This window comes from Homo sapiens, chromosome 6 (assembly GCF_000001405.40).
Source record: "Homo sapiens chromosome 6, GRCh38.p14 Primary Assembly".
Lineage (NCBI taxonomy): Eukaryota > Metazoa > Chordata > Mammalia > Primates > Hominidae > Homo > Homo sapiens.
The window spans coordinates 103,323,637-103,345,669 of NC_000006.12; positions in this window are offsets into that span (position 1 = coordinate 103,323,637).

The window sequence follows — 22,033 nt, forward strand, 5'->3', positions numbered from 1 at the left end:
TTTCCACCATTTAATACCATTGCATTGGGGATTAAGATTCCAACGCCTGAATTTTGGGGAACACATTCAAATTCTAGCAATGGCCAATTGGAGTGTATTCCAGGGATGCAAGATTTGCTCAATATTAGAAAAAAATTAATTTATTATTTGAACAAGCTAAATAAAAATATCACGTGATATTTTGAATTGATGCAGATAAACCATTCTTAAGAATTCAATATCCATACATGGTTAATACTCTAAAAACAATAAGAATAGCAAAGGCCATCCTCAACTTTATAGAGAATACAATTTTTTTTTAAAAAAAGCTAATATTATTGCTTTGCTTTGTATGTGGTTTCTCTCCACCAAGCCTCATTTTTTAATCTGATCCTGAACGTGGCAGTTTTGAAGGATGGGGCCTCGTAGGATGTCTTTTAATCATGGAGCAGATCCCTCATGAGTATTAATGCTCTCCTACATGGGTGAGCGGATACCCACCCTCTTGGGAATAGGTTAGTTCCCAAGAGAGCAGGTTGTTAAAAGTGTCTTGCTTCCTCAGTTTCTCTTGTTTCCTTCCTTGCCATATGATCTCTGAACACACCCACACCTTTTTGGCTTTCCACCACGAGTGAAAGCAGCATGATGCCCTCACCCAGAGCCAAACAAGCAATGGCACCATTCTTGTACTTCTGAGCCTGCGGAACTGTCAGCTAAATAAACCTTTTTCCTTTATAAATTGCCCAGCCTTAGATATTCTGTTAGAGCAACACAAAATGGACTAAGGAAATTATAATGGTAAAAGACTGACTGCATTCCCCTAAGATCATGAATAAGACAAAGATATTTGCTATCTCACCACAAGGAATTTCTAGCCAGTGCAATAAAGCAATAAAGAAAATAAAATACATATAGAAATGAAGAAACCAAATTGCCCCTATTTGCAGATGACATGATTATCTATGCAGAAAATATCAAGGAATCTACAAATATCTCCTAAAAATGAAACATGAGTTGAGCATATCACACAATACAAGATAAGCAAAAACATTGCTTTTCTAGATATTAGCAGAAAAAAGAGTACCAAATTTAAAAGTACTATACCTTTATAATCACTAAGAGAATGAAATGGGCATAAATCTAACAAGCCATTGAAAGACTTGTATACTAAAAACTACATAACATTGATGAAAGAAATAAAGACAGTACAAATAAATGGGAAAACATACCATGTTTATAAGTTGGAAAACTCAGTGAAGATAATAACTTTCTACAAATTAATATACAGGCTGAATACAATCCTATCAAACATTCATCTACTTTTAGAAATATACAGATTATTATAAAATATGTATGGAAAGACAAGTAACTAAAATAGCTAGCATAGTATTTAAAAGAAGAATAAAATGAGAGAAATCAGTTTACCCAAATTTAAGACTTTTTATACAGCAACAATAATCAAGCCTTTTTGATATTGAGGGAAAGACAGACCCATAGTCCAATGGAACAGAATAGCAAACCAAGATGTAGATTTATTAAAAAATATGTGCAACCTATTTTTGACAATGTCTCAAAAGCAATTGAGCAGAGAAAAGATAGCAGCAAATGGTGCTGGAACAATTGGATATCCACAAGCAAAAAAAAATTAAAAAGAAAAGAAAGGAAGGAAGGAAAGAAGGAAGAAAGGAAGGAAAGGAGAGAGATGAAAGAAAGAAAGAAAAAGAAAGAAAGAAAGAGAAAGAAAGAGAAAGAGAAAGAAAGAAAGAAAGAGAAAGAAAGAGAAAGAGAGAGAAAGAAAAAGAAAGAAAGAAAGAAAGAAAGAAAGAAAGAAAGAAAGAAAGAAAGAAAGAAAGAAAGAAAGAAAGAAAGAAAAAGAAAGAAAGAGGGAGGGAGGGAGGGAGGAAAGAAGGAAGGAAGGAAAACATTTCAATTAATCTATCACACTGTCAAATTTCTGAAAAGAGATCCAAAGATAATTATATCTTTTTACAACATCAAATAATGATGCATTATGTATGTGTACTAGAGTCACCGTTTTCCAAACATATGCCTAAATGAAGTATAATGGCATATATACAACCATGATTGATGTGATATCTAGTTTTCATTAAGTTACGATGTGTTAATATTGTGTCAACATATCCAGTCTTCTATTCATCACTGTGAAATACTATGTGTTACATTTTCTTTGGTTAATTAAAATAAATGTATCTATTACTAATATTTTGCTAATTTAAAACACCAAGAGGTACTGGTGTTTCAAGTTGTAGGAAACATAGCTTCTAAATTAATATATTTTAAAATATGAGAATAATGGATTGCTGAAGCCAATAGTACAAACTCACTCATAAAAGAGATTGTGGTTTATAAAATAATAGCATAAGATTTATAGTGGTCAACCTCCTGATATTTCCAACTGAATGTCCTGCTTCTGACATTAAAAATAAAGGGTAATTTCTGTGTGAAGTTATGTAATACTCAATATCAGCCCCAAATGTGTTGAGATTCATGCCAAACATTGTAAGTTGCCTGCATAATATTTTTCTGATTGATCATTTTATAAAAGAATCTAATTAAGACTATGAACAATCAATATTTATGGCCTGCTATCAAAATTTTCTTTCTTCTTAAAATTTACATTTAATTTATTTATTCAATGGATATAAAGCAAATAACAACAATATTTTTGCTTTTGTTCAAGGTAACATTGATAAAGTAATGACTAAAAAATTGTCTCTCAAGCAGTCTCTTTTCTCCAGGAACTCCAGGACAATAGGAAGCACTCTACAAATAAATGACTAATCATGTTTAAGGTAATAATTGCATAAAGTTGCATAAATGAAGAAGTAACCAATTCAGGCTGTGGAAAATTAAGACATACATGCTGCTTAGAAATTTGAGTGCTTTGTTTGGAAATGAGATGTAAGTTATGAAGATTAAACTGGGAAAATTAAATAGATCTAGTTGTGAACATACTGAATGTCAGGCTTAGGAAAACTGGCACAAAATAAACCATCTAATAGTTTGAAGCCAAAGAGGACTTACTTTCTTAAATGAATGTTTGGAAAAAATCATTCTGACAGAAATATGGAAGATGGATTGGAGGGGCAACATACTAGACACAATAAGAGCAGTTATATTCTGCTCTTATTGACTACTCCACTGTGAAGGTAGACTTTCTATATCCAGGAAGTCAATTGGCTTTCACTTAACATACAGATAAATGAAAGAGACAACCATCTCATTATCAGCTGGGTTGACCTGTACTGAGTCATCTTGATAGCTTTTGCTTATGATGAGAAGTCTCTTGATTTATTGAAGTCAACATTACATTTCTCCCTTGACACTACTTCACTTCTCATATGTTCCCCAGTGTTTGAAAAACAAATAGCACAGGCACCCTTTCCATAAGGCCTTAACACTAGAAAACCTTTGCCTAAGAGAGCAGCCACAGCAGCTTTTTAAGTTCATAGCTCAAAACTTACATAAAGTGGACTTGGCAGGATTTTGCTTAGGAGTTGCAGAATTAAACTTACTGGCTTGTGTGAAATTTGATTAACTGAAATCTCCTCAGTCCTCTTGTTGACCACATCCCCAGAAACAGCCAGCTGGACTCCTGGGCAGCTATGTGTCGAAGCAGAACTGAGCCAGCTGTCAGCTTGCTCACAGAAGGGGACTCTCCACAGTGGAATACAGCTCTTTTAGCAAAAGCAGCACTGCCTCAGAGTGCATACCCAGCCTTAATGAATCCATGAACTGGCACCTCTTTGGTCTCACATTCCATTTTTTTTTAACATTTAGTAAATGTATTTTGTGCTAGTAAAGGAGGCTGAAAACGTTGCTTTAATCTTCAGATACTGGGAATAGTAACACCTTACACAGTCCGGAGATGTTACATGTGTAAATCAGACACAAAGGGACTTGATTACAATCTCTTGTTCAATGCAGAATGGCCTCAAAAAGACCAGTCTGATTCCATACTTCATTCTGACAGCCAACTCACAGACACAAATAACGGAACTGGAAATGTGGATACAAGGCACCTAGTAATATTTGTCAAAGGCCTTTAAAAAGGATGACTGTTTCAAATCAGAGCTCACTTGAATAGTTAGTCAGCAATGAAAAGATCATTTTAAAGATAGTTAAACTTAACCCCTAAAGTCACAATTTTCAATTATCATGGCTTATTTGGAGGAAGGAAAATTATTCAATGTGAGTCATTATTTTTATTTTAGTAAGATTTTTTCCCCTTGAATCTAATCAAGTCTCTTAGAAATTATAGCATAAAACACATAAATTAAAAATGGATTAAACTTCATGGTGTTTCACTACTGGATTTTATGATAAGTGTTTCCCATATTATATTCAAATTGGTTTTCTTTCTTTAAGGGATCATTAACATGCTGAGAACCAAATCATGTGGTCATAAACAGTCATTGTGATTGCTACTACATTGTGATTGCTACTAGTTGCTAATGCTGCAAACATAAATTTTTTTTCTAATAAACTTGGAAAAAGGAGACATTGTAATAAACTCAAAGCCAGCTGATGTAACCACTATTATAACATGAACTATAACCAAAAATATCATTTTATATAATACACGTTATATGATGACTTAGTATGTTGCATCTTGTTCAAAGAAACTGAAACAAAATTAATAATCAACCTTGATCTATTCACCTAAGGATTCACTAATGTATTTATGAAAACAGAAAGCAAGAGTATAGCTAAGAGATAATATTTCTAGTCAAATATTTAAAATTCTTTCACATGCTTTTTTATTAATTTTTAAGTGAACTAATATATAATGTATCTGTTCTAAATTTGTAAATGTTAAGATGATAGAAAAAAGTTGCTTTTGTCCAACTTTTTTCTTAGGCCAAGTTGAAATAATAATTTCACATATTCTAAATATGTCTTACTATCATAGGACAGCAATTATATATATATATATATTTATTTATACATGTATAAAAACACAGGCACACATATGTATTTTGTGCCACCAATTCAACATGAATTTGTACGCTGCAAAATTACATAGTTCCTTAATTATTTCATATATCCTTTAACCAATGATATTAAAAAACTGACATTCACTTAGTAGTCACCCTCCACCAAGCTCTATTCAACATTTTGAGTGTGTAGGAGGGTGGTTACACTCACAGAAATCTTATGAGGTAGATTTTAGTCTCACTATTTTTCTAATTTTATAGAACTAAAAACTGAGATACAGAAAGGTTGGTTGACTTGCCAAGTATTTCACAGCAAGTGAGTGGCAGAACTAAACTCCAAATCCAGTCCGTATGAATATAGCCAAACTGTCTTTCTTATCAAGCTAATTGAAGAGTAGTAACTTTCTTTGTTCTCTATATCAGTTAGTTGATTAATAAGGCTTTTGAATGATGTGTGGAAAACTTGAATTTGGGGTCCCTTTATCAATCTCCTCCTTTTCTGAATCTCTTGCAAGCAATCTTCTGACCACTACTTTGAATTTCTGAGAATGACATTCTCTAGATACTTGAAGCAATATTACAGTTTTCAATAAACTTCTAATAAACATCTCAATCTAATAATTATTTGAAAAATAGTAGAATGCATAAATTAAAATATATTATATAAGAAATTTGTGGTTATCTTCAGAAGAAAAATATAAACTCATGTGAAATGCCTAAACTCATATAATTGGTTGGAAGTGTGTCACCAATTTTGCTTGCTTCCTAAGTAGAAAATCAAACATAATTAATATATAAGAGTCTCATAGTCACTAGGATGAACAAAAACACAGAGTGATCAGAAGAGAGTTGTCTTCTACTGGAACTGAATGATTTTTTCCAGTACCTCATGAATAGCAAAGAATGAACACGGTAGAATAAGTACAATAAAAATAGCAATTTTTATTTAATTATCACAAAGTTAGTTACTGCATAACTTTTAAATATATTTCCATTAAATCTATCCTACAAAGGAAGAAAGTCATAGCTTTCAATTTTCAATTCTGTAATTATAAGATAAAATGTAAACTCTTTTGAGCAATTATTCCCGTAATATGAAATTTTTACTTTTGAGAAGAATTGATCGCTGAGGTGTTAGAGTTCTGAAATTTCTCTGAAGAATCTGAGGAGGAGATAGTTTTTAGTGTTAACAAGGAGGAAATAATGCAGGAGGACTGATGTCCTTTTATGGAAATAAACACATGGAAAAAAACGCAACTATCGCCAATGTCTGGTTGCTGCTACCTCTCACATGAATTTGGGCCAATGGAATAATTGTGGGAAAGAAGAAAAGATACTGAGGAAACAGTTGTTTATCAAATCCAACACAAAGAAAAATGAATATATTTATGTACGAAAGCATAAATAAAATAATTTTGTCTAGACATTTTTAAAAACAATGTGCTAAAAAATTACCAACCATGGAAAAACACCTTTTTTTTTTTTTTTTTGGAGATGAAGTCTGGCTCTGTCGCCCAGGCTAGAGTGCGGTGGTGCAATCGGCTCACTGCAAGCTCTGCCCTCCCGGGTTCACACCTTTCTCCTGCCTCAGCCTCCGAAGTAGCTGGAACTACAGGCGCCCGCCACCACACCTGACCAATTTTTTGTATTTTTAGTAGAGACGGGTTTTCACCGTGTTAGCCAGGATGGTTTCAATCTCCTGACCTCGTGATCCGCCCGCCTTGGCCTCCCGAAGTGCTGGGATTACAGGCGTGAGTCACCGCGCCCCGCTGCAAAAACACTTTTTATTCATCCATTGTATACTATAGAATTCAACGGGGTAGAATTTTAAAAATATTTTTTATTTTTTTAGGTTTGGGTGAAAATTGATAAAAGATTATCTGATCAACTTATAGCTTAATATGTAAGTTTAGTGTCCTGACCAGCAAAGATTAAACTCTGTTTTTGGAACTGCTATAAAATAGTGACATACTAACAAAATACTTTTCCTTGCAATCTTAGCTGAATAACCTCCTGACCTGTTTCTCTGAACTTTCTGTATTTGTCCTTTCTAAACCATTTACCAGAAAGTTGGGAAAATATACCCTCTATACACAGCACGGTTGAATAGTAATTCTTAATAGAAAAGTGTAGCTGCATGTCTTAGGAAAAATGGAAAGAAAGGGTAGCCAAAAAGACAAAGGTCAAGGTTTAAAGTTATCTAATTTTTAAAGAAGTTAAAAAGGTGAATCATTATGAGACAGAAGTATTTCTAAAATATATCAAATCGTAATAAGAAATAGGCTTTAGAAAATGTGAATAAAGTAGGCAAAAATCAGTTAATTTAAACTTTTGAATTAATAGAGTTGAGTGTCTCCTATATAAAATATATTCTTTAAATTTTTCACTGAAGATAATCCCGCCTTTTATAAGATGAGAGTTCATGAGGGAAAGAGTCAAGTGAACAAATTATTTTGATGTAATGAAGTAAGTAATATTCCAGAAGTATTTACCAAACTCTACTTCATACCTATACAAAGTACATACAATCCACCAGAAGGAGATGGTGTTTGAAGTTAGTACAGTAAATAGTATCCACATAAAGAGGATCCAAATCTGGCCCACAAGCGTGTTCCATTCCTTTATTTTACAAATGAATAAAATGAAGAACAAAAATGTGATTGTTTTCTCCACGGTCATACATTCAGTTAGAGAAATAATCAAGACTAAAACCCGGATTATCTATCACGTCTGGTTCTGTTTCCTTCCATCCTTTTAATAGTTGAAAATAATTCACTATAACTGTGTTTTTATCAGCATAATCTTTTAGGAATTTTGACTGAAAAGATTTTTTTTTTTTAAGTCAGAGAAGGTTGTCTGATCCCATTGACCCTTTCTTTGATTGATGAAGCTAATTCAATCATACATTTCAAAATAATTTTGTTTGCAGACACAACGTTAAAGTGTTATCTAAGGATTAAGGAACTTTCTCACGCAATGCTTCCTAAAGTATTTGTCGCAGTCTTGTCTTTTCCTTGCATGTCACAGACCAGTTCTTTGGTAAAACACAATTAAAAGGAGTTAGTAGGAGTTTTACTTCCTCCATGACAGTGTGAGGAGCTCTGTGGACCAACTGAACAGTGAAACTGATGAAAATTAAAAACATAAAACCATTTAGAAATTCTCAAAATAGTTATAAGAACATAAATCACATAAATATTTATTCAAGAACATCCATTAAAATTTGCAAAGAACTCTGAGAATCTGTGCTATTTGCACCATGACACATGTCTTCTTTTCCCACTTCCAGCTCAATGAGATAAAAATTCCACTCTGGTTTGGTACGGCCAAAAACACTGGGGTCCTTTTCTCCTAAGCTCCCAGTCAGAGGGCTATCTTTCTGGAAGGAGCAGATAATAAGCATAAGCCCATCTATCCATTGCTAATGCTATATTCTGGGTAATTAATGGTTAAGACATGAGAGTTCCTTCTTCTCTGCCTGGCCCCTACTCATGCAGTAGAGGCTTACCTTAGATGCAATGCTGTGGGAACAGTCTTGCTGGAGCTCATGAAGCAGGGATTCCATGCCAAGAAAAGTAAGCCAAAAAAAACCTGATCATTCCCCGTCTCCATCAAGTGCTTAGCTTCCAAAGGCTTTTCACTTAGAGTTAAGTACACAACTAATAAGGGAGGGGGGCAGGGAAGCACTTGGTAGAGAAGTGCGGGGTCCTTGGCGAGGGCTCCACCCTCGGGCCTCTGCCTGCAGACCTAAGTAAGAACAGGCACTCCTGTTTTGGTGCCCAAATGTTGCATTTTCCAAGATCACTCTGGCTTGACACTCCCCCCCATTCTGTGCCCATATAAACCCGAGACCTTAGTGGGAACATATACAAGCGACTGAACGTCGAGACCAGCAGACCAGCAGACCTGTGGACCCGCAGACCAGCGACGGTGGAACAACACGACAGCGAAAGAGAGAAGAGGAGGGATATCTGGATGCCGAGGGGAGTTCTGCCAGGGGGGCGGTTGGAGAGGAGTCCCGCCGCTGGGCAGTCAGACTGCAGGAAAAGACCACATTCCTACTCCATGCCCGCCTCTGGCTCCCCATTCATTTTACTGAGAGCCACCTCCACCACTCAATAAAACCTTGCACTCATCCTTCGGGCTGGCGTGTGATCGAATTCTTTTGGGACACTGAGCACGAGTCCGGGAGTCCGGGATACAGAAGGCTGTCACACTGGCCCCTCCCACTGACACACAAGCCATCTGCAGATAGCAAATCTAAAAGAGCTTTGTAAGGCACACCCACTAGGGCTTTGGGAGTTGCAGACACCCACCCTTAGATAGTGCCATGGGGCTGGAGCCCAAAAGTGCTCACACAGGCTTCTGCACCTGCCCTTCTGCAGAACTGAGTTGCAGCGTACTGGAACGAGTGAGCCACACCCCTATTGAGGTCCTGCGAGGGGAATAAAGGAACTCTCCCGTTTCACCACTGTCCCCATGTATAGCACTAAAGCTGTGGCTCAGATATTTTATTGGATGGGAGAAAGTGAGGGGACCCAGAGAGTTCCAAACATCTCTCACAGGAACTGACTTCATTTGCAACAGAGTATGAAGAAGTTCAAACCTAAGAATATTGACACAGTGAAAGTTGTGGTAAAAGAAAGTTGATAAAGGATTGATAGATTAATTGAAAATACATACTAAACTGTAGTCCAGCCACAGACTGGGAGAAAAGAAATTGCAAAAGACACATCTGATGAAAGGTCATCATTCAAAATACACAAAGAACTCTTAAAATGCAACAAGAAAACAACCTGATTAAAAATTGGGCAAAAGACCTGAAAGATACAATGCCACAGAAAATTATAGATGACAAGTAAGCATATGAAAAAAATGTTCAACATATATGTTGTTAGAGAACTGTAAATTTAAACAATGAGATATTGCTCCACATCTGTTAGAATGGCCAGAACATTGACAACACCAAATACTGTTAAGGACGGGGAACAACAAGAATTCTCATATGTTTAGTGGGAATGAAAACTACTACAGCCATTTTTGAAGATAGTTTGGCAGCTTTCTTACAAAACTAAACCGACTACTACCACACAATCTAGCAATCATGCCTCTTGTTATTTACCCAAAGGAGTGAAAACTTATGTCCACACAAAAACCTGTGCATGGATGTTTATAGCAGATTTATTCTTAATCACCAAAATTTGGAGGCACCAAGATGTCTTTGACTAGGTGAACAGATAAATAAACAGTGGTCTATCTAGACAACAGAATGTTATTCAGTTTTAAGAAGAAATTAGCCATCTAGCCATATAAAGACATGGAGAAAACTTAATTGCATATTACTAAGTAAAAACAAAGCCAATGCCAATCCAAAAAAGCTACCTACTATATCATTCCAACCATATGACATTCTGGAAAAGATAAAGCTATGGATTTAGCAGGAAAAAAAAAAGACCAGTGATTGCTGGAAATTAGAGGAGAGGGAAGAACATAGGAAAACAGAGGATTTTTAGAGCAAAAAAACTATTATTTATGACACTACAATGCTGGATACATGTCAATATACATTTGTCCAAACCCATAAAATGTACAACACAAAAAGTAACTCTAAAGTAAGCAAAAACTGTAAACTTTAGGTGATAATGATATGTCAATGTCGGTTCCTCAATTGTTATGAAGGTACCACTCTGTTATGGGATGCTAATAGTGGAGAATATCGTGCATGGGTACAGACATGGAGTATATGAGAACTCTGGGCATTCTCAGCTCAATTTTGCTGTGAACCTAAAACTTCCCTAAAAATGGAAATGTATTATTTTAAAACTAACAAAAGAACATGCTCAAAATGAAAACTTAAGTCCACAGAAATAAAGATACATTAAATTATAAATAAGATTAACAACAAAAATCTTTCAATATGTACTTTCCTTCTCTCAGCTTCTTTAAAACACATAAAATATATAAAGTCATAATTATGACAAAGAATCACTGATTTTTTAAAAATCCATAAATGTAATATGCATAACAGTAATACTACAAAAGGGAGGAAAGGGAATGGAAATCTATGGAATAATGTTTTATATCATACTAGAATTAAGTTAGTGTAACTCTAAAGCTTCATCTGATAAGTTAAGATGTATATGGTAAATCCTAGAACAACCACTAATAACCCAAAAATAGTAAAAAAATAAAATAAATAAACTAAACTTCTACCTTAGGAAATAATGCAAAATAAAGCATTTAAGAAGAAATACAGGGAAAAAGCCATGAGACATATAGAAAACAGACAATGAATATGTAGCATATGTAAATTCAAATATATCAATAGTAACACTAAATATAAATTGATTAAGCAATCCAATGAAAAGCCAGAGATTGTCAGACTGAACTAAAACACAAGATTCAATTGCATGCCATCTATAGCTGACATACTTAGGATTCAAAGATACAAGTAGATTGAAAGTAAAAGTAAAAGAAAAAAAGTGGAGTAGCTATAATAATATCAGACAAAATAGACTTCAAAACAACAAATATTATCAGAGATAATGAGAAACATTTTATAGTGATAAAATAATCGATCCATCAGGAAGATACAACATCTAACCAGATTAACAAAAAAAACCTCAAACTAAGTGTCTAATTGCCTCCATTTATATTGAATTCATCATGTCTGGCATTCAACAAAAAATTACAAGATATGCTCAAAGGCAAGAGAAAACAGTGTGAAAAGACAAAGCAAAACTCAATGAAATTGTATTAAAATATATGAAAGAATAATCCATCATAACCAAGAAGGTTTTATAACAGAAATTCAAAGTTATTTTAACATTAGACAATAAATCAGAGTATGTGTGTCTTAGTTTTTGTTGCTATAAAGAAATACCTGAGGATGGGTAATTTATAAAGAAGTCAAAATTTATTTTGGCTCCTAGTTGTGCAGGCTACACAGGAGGCATGGCGTCAGACTCTGCTCCTCGTAAGGGCCTCAGAAAGCTTCCAACCATGGTGAAAGGTGTGGGGAGCAGGTGTGTCACATGACTGGTGAGAGCAGGAGCAACAGAGTGAAGGAGGAAAGCCCAAGCTCTTTTAAACAATCAGATCCTATGCAAACTGAGCAAGAACTCACTCTTCACTAAGAGGTTGGCACTAAGCCATTCATGAGGGATCCACCCCCATGATCTAATACCTCCAACTAGACCCCACCTCCAACATTGGGGATCACATTTCAATATGAGATTTGGAGAGAACACACATCCAAACTGTATTAATGGAACTCACCATAATAACAAAACAAGGAAATATAAATAATCATTTAAATAGAGGCAGAAAGGAAATACTTAAAAACTTCAATTCTCAGCAAACTAGAAATAATAGGAAACTTGATCAAACTGATAAATTCGTAAAAATGTGCTTAAGTCATACTTGATGAAAGACTGAATTTTTTACTTTGGATATTAGGAAAAAGGCAACTCTCTTTCAAATATTATAAAACATTACTAAGAAAGGCGAAAAGCCATTCACCTCAGCAGGTGAATGGACAGCTTGTAATGCATTTGTGCAATGGAATATACTATTTAGCAACAAAAGGGAACAACCTATCGATACATCCGTGATATAAATTAATATCAAAATAAATATGTGTGCTGAAAGAAGCCAACAAAAAAACTCTATAATTACATATATGTATGTATATGTATTCATATATAGACCTACATACTTACACACATATACATATGTAAACACACATACACACAGATACACATACACACACATTCTAGAAAATGCAGGCTATAGTGACAGAAACCAGATCACTGAGTGCCTGGAATGGAGTAAAATTGGATTACAGGAAGATATGCAGAAACATTGTTGGGGGAAGGAGCTGTTCATTTCCTTAGTTCTAATGATAGTTTCGCAGTTGTCTACTGTGTTAAACTAGTCCAAGTTTTTAATTTATAGGCAATTTATTGTATTTCAGTTATAACTCATTAAAATGGAAAAAATAAAGATATAATTACCTACAGAATGTATTATATTTACCGGTAATAGCAACTATTTAGAAAAATAGTCCATAATAATAAAAAGTTATAGTACATAAAAAGTCATGGATTAGAGGGTTATAAATTATTTATAATTTTATTGTAAAAATTGGACAATCTACATGTTTCCTCTGTAATTGCCTGAATAAAAATGTTTAAATAAAATTAATTTATAGGAAAATAGTATGTAAAAAGAGCTTGGTTAAATAATTTTAATATCCTTTTATATGATATTTCTAATTTAAAAAAATAAACTTTAACTAGCGGCAACATAAGGCTGTTGTGATGGGTAAAAGGTAAATTTGGCTAATTTTATATGACAATGTGATTCAACTGAGAATCAGACTTTCACTAACACATTTGTATAAGATATTATATAGTAAAATAATGTAGAATTAAAATTGAAATAAATCAGAATAAAGATATAGTGCAAAGCTGCCCAGGGGTGATCTGATTGTCTAGAAATAGAGTAATTCTAATAAATGGAGAGAAGTCACTATAGAGAATATGAGAACAGATTCCTAATTGGCTAAGGATGTTTAAATCTGGGAAAAGGCAATCAAGAGTAAAATCGCTGGAGTGGGGATATCTAAAGAGAATATAATTAAAATCCAGGTAAAAAGAAATGGTTATCAAATGTGGGTAGTGGCAGCAAACACAGAAAAAGAATGTACCCATATACAAGAGAAAGTATAGAAAATAAAATGTGCATACTCCACATGGGTAAATATTTTAAAGGGTATTTAAAGTTTGACTTCACCCATAATATTTTTTAAATGTATTGACCAATAATAAGATTACAGTTATCTTTAAACGTTTATTTCTTTCCAGGCTTAAGTAATGGATTTATCAGAAGTTTTATTTTCTGTCGGGTTCATAGAAAGAATAATGGAAAGAGAGATGACTTCTTGTAATTCAAACCCTAAAATATTTGCTTATTTGTAACAAAGCATTTCCAATTCTCAGAAAAGAAAGAATGCAGTTTTTTTTGCTCAAAGAAAATTATTAATGCTAAAATTTATGAAAACAGTAGTAGAAACTAAAATATAATTAATCTATGAAGCTCTATAGAATATGAATTTAAAATAAACTTCAAGTTATCCTGATTTTTAAATGTTCATTTTCAAACAATTCTGTTATTATAATAGAATTAGAACTCTTTCAAATTAATTGTAATTTTATATTAATATCTTTGTGGTTTATATGCAGTGTTTTCATGCAACTTTATTTGCTGGGAATAAACTATTATGTAAATGTGTTCCAGTCCAGATTGAAATACATGTTTGATTTGGAAAGTAATTAAATCTTACACCGAATTTAAACTGGATATGTTATTTTTAGACTTTCTTATTATAACACCCTACATAAACACATCTGACTGATTTTTAAAATGATGGTCAAAATGATAAAAGTTTGATGCTTCTGTTTATAATATTTCTGGAAAGTGCATGCTGTAAGTCCTATTTAATTATAGATAAAAGTTTCCATTTAGGTAAACATTTATTTAATATAATAGAAACCTGACCTTTCAATAATAATTCAAGTCTGAATAGCAACAACAAAAAAAGATTTAGAAAGCAAGATCTTATTTTTAGAAAACTTCTTTCCATTGTATCTTTATATGAGTTGATTTCAAAGGTATCTCTGAATACCTGAACACTATGATTTTGTCCATAATTTCTGTCGTAATTATTGTCTATTGGCCTTACCTAATTACTTCTGAAAAGAAATGCTATAACCTAGTAAGTGAAATGTAAAAATAACCAAAACCCTGGATAACCCCCTACGACAATCTAGTTTGTAAATATGGCATTGATTCAGCTCTCTATTAGTTCCTTTAGGAGGAAATAAACATTTTTGAGGAGAGTATATCAGATGTTCACAGAAGCATGAAAATTAGGGAAGAAGTGCCATTGTAAAAGAAGGCTTTCGTAAATTATATATATAAGCATGTGTGTGTTTTTTAAAGCTTTTTACAACTAGATTTTGCTTTACTGATATTATTCTCTTCTTTATAGTCCCAGAATATGAGTCTAAAACAGGGCTTAAATTTGAAGGCTCCTGAAGAACAAAAGCCAACATTTATACTATTCTTTTTCCTGTGTGTTCTAGAGCTGTATGTAATACAACCAGGTTTGTTTTGTTTTGTTTTGTTTTGTTTTTGAGGCAGATTTTCGCTCTTGTTTCCCAGGCTGGAGTGCAGTGGCGCGATCTCGGCTCACTGCAACCTCTGCCTCCCAGATACAAGGGATTCTCCTGTCTTAGCCTCCCAAGTAGGTGGGATTACAGGCATGTGCCACCACGCCCGGCTAATTTTTTTTTTTTTTTTTTTTTTTTGTATTTAGTAGAGACATGGTTTCATCATGTTAGTCAAGCTGCCGGCGAACTCCTGACCTCAGGTGATCCACCCGCCTCAGCCTCCCAAAATGCTGGGATTACAAATAGTTGCCTTATGATTGTGATTACTCCTTAAATGTTTCAGAGAAAGTTTTTAGTTGTAAAGTTCTAGTTACTTTAAGACATATCAGCATAATTTTCTAGCAATTTAATTTAACATAAGAAGCGATGACAGTCTGCATTTCTTGGAATTTAAATTATGTTTCATCTACAAACAACAAGACTCTAAATCTGAGTCTGTTCAATTAGTGTTAATGTGATATAATGACAAAATTAGTTCAGAGGATTTTAGACATAAATCATGCTAGAAGTTTCACACTTTAGAGTACCAATTCATTCTTTGCATCCACTTTTAAAGCAAATACAAGCAAAACCCTTCTCTCAGTAACTGAATACTAACTCAGGTCAAATGTGTGTTTCATGACATGAACAATAATTAGTAATGTAACCAGTGAAGTTATTTTTGTTCATGCTTAATCATCCATTTCCAGAGTGCTGATAATCAAATGGAGTACAAGGTGAAAACACTTTGCTTTAAAAGTTAACTATGACAATAAACTACCTGCAATCGAATTTGTGGAAAGAAAAAAATAAAGTTGGTTAAAACTTTATTTTTAAGGAGTCATTAATTTAATGTAATGATATGAAATTTTGCCTCAGGAATTAACATACATATATATAAAGTGTATATTTTGTGCTCTTTCATTATCTTACTGAAAATCATAATGTGAAAACTCATTAAGTCTCCAATCCTAATAACATCACTGCCATTTGTTCATATTTATGGCTTTTCTGGCCTAATTTTCTTACCTATTCAGATATCGCTACATGAGCCATCACATTATTTTCTCTCTGTCCTTCACCTGAACTCTCTTTCCATCTTGTCTTTCCAACATCATTCTGCAAAACAACCACAATGACAACCAATCTAACCCATAAACTTTCCAACCGTTTCCCAAAAGTGTTGAGGAAAAAAATTCACAGAACTGTATGAATTAACTACCATTCCTTGATCTACATTCTAGCTGGGTCCTTAATATAGCCTATAAATCATTTTATACCTGATGACGCTCTTTCATTTTCCTCAATTTTAACTCTTAAGTTCATCGCCGTTTTTATAATGCCTATATTCCCTTAATTCTAACAGGACAAATTTATCTTGGATATCATTGGAATAGCTAGGATCCATCTAATAAGAACTCTCACAACTTCCTCCCTCACCACGTCTAAATGTATTTGTATCACTACGTTTAGGTTTATAATTATATATGCCTTCTTTTTGTATTGTTTCAAGATCAGGATAATACCTGCTAGCCTGCCTGTTTTTTTCTTTTTTCTTTTTTCTGCTTGTTTCTGCAGGAGGAGGGAAAGTTGTTGGAGTTTTATTTAGAAATCAAATTAAAGAATATCTTGCATAGAGAAGTATTAAATATGAAATAAAATATATGAAAAATCAAGAGTCTGAGCTTTTAAGCATTCCATACAAGAATTTTAATACCAAAAACACTATGTGAACTATGTGAGCATGGTTCTAGTTAGCTCCTTATCCCCCATAAGATCAGAGGACATAAATATACTAATGGAAACGGGGTATAGAGAGGTAAAGTAGGCAAGGTGTCAATGTGTTAGATTCATCCATCTCTTAACTCCCCCAATAGTTTTGTGTATTTAATAGGTAGAAATAAGATTTTTGCATTTGTAGATTATTTTAACTTCTGGTAACAGGCTAAGTTATCAAAAGTCTTTCCACTAAAAAAGGTAAAAATGCTGAGAAAAATATTTTTTAAAAACTCCTCAAATGTTTTCCAGTAACTGGAAAAATAAAAATAAGAAGACCTACCAAATCAAAGTAACGAAATCAAACCAAAAAGCAGGAATCCAGAGCAGTAAGACAAACACATGCTAAAGTTTATTTTAACTTGAAAGTATTTGTTGATACAGGTAAATTTGAGATTTAATTTTGAAGGCTTCATGTGGTATAACTGCCGAAGTCAAAGTTAAGGGTCTAGGGGTCAGAGTCAAAGAGAAGACCTCCCTAGAAAACTGTTGCAGTAAAAAGCTATAACTTCAGGATAATGATAAACAGGAAATGAACTATCCCTAACCCACTTATCCCCCAGAAGAATACAAATACATTTGTCTCAACCCTGACACAAGCAAATGGATAAAAAAAAAATTCCTGAGTTGTAACCATGTGTCAGCTATCTTATGGATTTTTAACACTACCTGAGTTAAACTTTGAATGTAATTATTTTATTAACATTTAATTTGATTTTCTCTAAATTATACTTTATTGTTTACATGCACACTGTTCACGTATTTAGTTTTTCTAAGTTTTTTTGTTTTTGCCCTTTATTTGTTACTGTTTTTATTTGTCACCAGCGTTTTGAGGGTATTTCTATTTTGCCACAAGATTTTAGTATTGGGGATGAGAAGCCTGATGCCAGTATGACTGATTCCTGTATGGACGATCTTTGACTTTTTCCTAATGAAAATTATGTGAACTTTACTTTATCCTGTGGTTTTCTGAAATTTTATTTTATTATTTATTTTATTTATTTTCTCACACTGTCAGCCAGGCTGGAGTGCGGTGGTGATCCTGCAGTCTCCACCTCCACTGCTTAGGTGATCTTCCTGCCCCAGCCTCCCAAGTAATTGGGACCAAAGGTCCACACCAACACGTTTGGTTGATTGTTTATTATTATTTGTGGAGACGTGGTCTCACTATGTTGCCCAGGCTGGTCATCTCCTGGGCTCAAGCGATGCTTCTGCCTCGACCTCCCAAAGTGCTGGTTTACAAGAAAGAGCCATGCTGTCCAGCTGAAATTGTATTAAATTGTGTCTGTGTAGGTCTTTCTTTACATTGTTTGCTGGGTGCTTGAAGGTCCTGTTACATATGAAGATGGGTCTTTCTGATGTGACTCTCATCTATAATAATGATTATATATACATATATATGTATATATATACACGCACACATATCCATATGACTCACACATATAATCCATAATATTATAGATGTGGTTCTCATCTATAATAATGCATGATCTATTATTTCTATGATGATGCATTTCTTCATTTACACTTTTGTTTTGTTTTCTAGAATTGTTAATGTATATATAATAGGTTTCCTGGAATATATTATCTATGATTATCATCATTTTATCAGGTTTCCAGTTCAGTGATACATGTTCTAATTTTTGAGAGTTTTTACCAGTATTATGTTATGATCCTGTCAATTTCAGGAACTATATTTTTTCATGTTTTTTACTAAAGTCCATAGTTTTTCAGAGTTCCTTAGTCTTCATATAATGAATGTTTTCTGTTCCAATATCCTAGCCAGGATACCACGTTATATTTCATCATCATGTCACTTCAAGCTCCTCTTGGTTGTAACAATTTATCTGGCTTTCCTTATTTTTGATAAGCTTGGTAGTTTTGTGGCATATTTTTCCAATGTTTATAAAATATACTTCAGTAGTATTTATCTGATTGTTTTTCATGATTAGACTGAGGTTATGTGTTTTAGGGAGGAAGATCAGGAAGATCACTGAGGTAAAGTGCTCTTCATCTCTTACTATCAAGAGAACAAACTATAGACATGACATCACCATTGATGTTAACCCTGATTATTTGGATATTTATTTGATTATTATTTGATTATTTGGCTGTTGGTGAGGGTTCTCCACTGTAAAGCTACTTGATCTCTCCAAGTACTATACTCATTGAAAATAAGTCACTATTCACAGCCCACACTAACTAGTGGGGAATTACATTTCTTCTACTATAAGATGGAATAGCTACATAAATTATCTGGGATTCTTCTGCATGGGAGACATGTCTACTCTCCCTGATGCATGTGTGTATGTATGCATATATGGCTACATGAATGTATGCAATCATTTATTTGCATCACTATAATATTATAATGTTGCTTTTGTCTTTTAAATATTAAAAGAGCTGCTATAAACGTGTGTGAAGGATTTTGTGTGGATGTAACATTTCAAGTCAGTTCAGTAATAACCTAGGAAATCGAAGTAATGATGAGATACCCAAGTAAAGATGCCACTCATCAGACAGATACTTGTCACAACATTTCAAAAATTTGACTAGGTCTAAAAGTAGTTCCAGAGGCAATATTTGAAGATCTTTAAGTGAAAGGACTTAGGAAACCAAAAAGCCAAGAGTTGTCTTTAATAAATTCAAAATTAAAATATGTAAAAAAATAGTTATGGAACTGGGAGGGAAGTAAGAGTAATTATAGAAAGGGGCATTTTCAGAAAATGAAGGAAACAGAGAACAGATGAACTTATTTTCATTCTATTGCTTCTTTCTTATAGAAAATATATATAGGATTGTTTTAATTCCCTCTTTATGCCAATGATAAAACTGAACTTTAGGGTTAAATAACTTGCCCCTACTCATACCAGTGAATGAAAAAAAGCAGATCTGTACTTACTCAAGGCATTTGTTTTATCCACTAAAACTCACTGTCTTTCTGTAATGTATAGGAAGAGTTTCAAGAAGTATGCATATCAGTTATTGACTTTTCAAAACTCTTGGTTTTTACATTTTTTCTAATATGCCCAGACATGAAGCAATTAAAGATCATCAGGACAAATAAATGCAGTGATTACGGGTAACACCAATTATTGTAGTTAACAATTTTAAAGGTTCTAGATTGTGCTACTACTTTTTATATGTACAATCAACATTTAAAACTATAAATTTCAGTATTTTTATTTTATGGTTTGAGTTTAAATATGTTATCATAAATCATAAACTGATATTAAATAATAAGCACAATGTTTATGTTTTCCCTTTGTGTTTAAGCGTTTATCAATCATTGAATATGAAGTGCTGTTATAGAAACATTTTGCTCATAAACAGGCATATAATTGTCAGGAAATACCATCTATAATTGTGTAGTTTACTGTTTAGTGAAAGGTCGGTTGGGATTTTATTTCAATTGCCATTGTTTAATGATTTAATTTACACAAGGATAAAACTTGATGTTCTAATTCTTCAGGCTACTATTGTCATATTTACTGACTTTAATTTACCTCGATCACATTCTAGACAAAGAATAGAAAGTACTACGGCATGCAATACCTTATTCATCATAAGTTATTTAAATGTCTGGCTCACAACATGAAGATGGTAAATCATTTAAAATAATGCAACTAGTTCCTTCACACAATATAGAAAACAAGCAGAACTGTATGGACATTATGGCAGATGAAAAGGAATAAGATAGAGAGTCTGAAAGAAAAAAAAAGAGAAATAAAGTTTTTTTAAAAAAGTAGGAAAAAGAAAGATCACCACCTATGTAACCTTTAATAGCAGTATGGGGTAAAACTGAGAATGATGGCTTTCTCATTTCCCTCCAGTATAATCTCCCTATTTAAAGTTCACTCTGCTTCATGTGAATAATGTATGTGGGCTGACATTCCAGGATAGGAAGAAATAACATGAAACATAGTTTAATAGCTTTAAGTGAACAATACTATTTCCTAATATATTAAAGAAGGGGAAGTGGAGTTCGTCAAATCTAGCCAGAGTAATTATTAAGCTTTTTAAAATATCAGTACTTAGACTAAGCAGAGCCAATATTTTGCTATTGTATTTAAATATAAAAAAGACATGAAATATTTGTCTTTAAATGTCTTTTTTTTCTGCTTTATTTTTTATCAAAGTGCTTAAGTCTAGGTTTAATACATGTGGCAAAAATTGCCTCACTTATAGAAACTCTGTGCTCTAGATGAAATTAATGATTAACAACACAGGAATGAAAAAAGGCCACAGAATTGTTTCTAATGTTAAAGACTGTTAGAAAAGTAGTGCTATAACATCTCATGTATCAAGCACTGTAAAACAATAGGAATAGTTAACAAAGATAAATTTTGAAAATAACTGAAGCATCCAAGTTAATTTAAATTACCATTTCAACACACGCTATTTTACACGTCTTAATACTTCACTTTATATTGCATTTTGCTCTTAGGTTCTTGTACCTTGTACTTCCTCAAATTATCAGCTAGTGTCAACAACTGAATTTCCACATATATTTCAAAGCCAGCTTTCCTATTTCTACTAAAATCCTGCTGCCATTTTTACTCTGATAGCATTTAATCTTTATATACATTTGGAGAAAATTGACTTCTAATTCATGAAAATATAAATGCATCCACTTATTTAGGTAATTCAGTATTTCTAACTATAATATTCCATTGTTTCCTGTGTAGACCTGCCTTTTATAGCTTTCATTTGATAAGTTTTGTATATCACCTTCTTAAAGTTATCATTTAAAAAAACCTTATGGTGAGATTACATGAAGCTTACAGATGTTAAGTGATTCCTTATCTACATATAGATGCTTATGGCACATAGCCAGTGTGAACATTTTGTTTTCTTTCTATTTAAAATTTTATTATTTAATATTTGAACAAAAGGAATAGATCTTTTAGGTATGTGTAAATACGAGGCATATTAATAAAATAAACCCATCTCCCAACCAGTATGAACTTCTTACAGTGCCATCTCTTTCCTTCTATCCTACCAAAAAGGCTATTCTTAAATGGTTATATATCCAGGAATCACATAAACTAGGGCCACCCTGATGAAATAGATATTTAAAATAGATTATTAAAAACAAGAGATCTT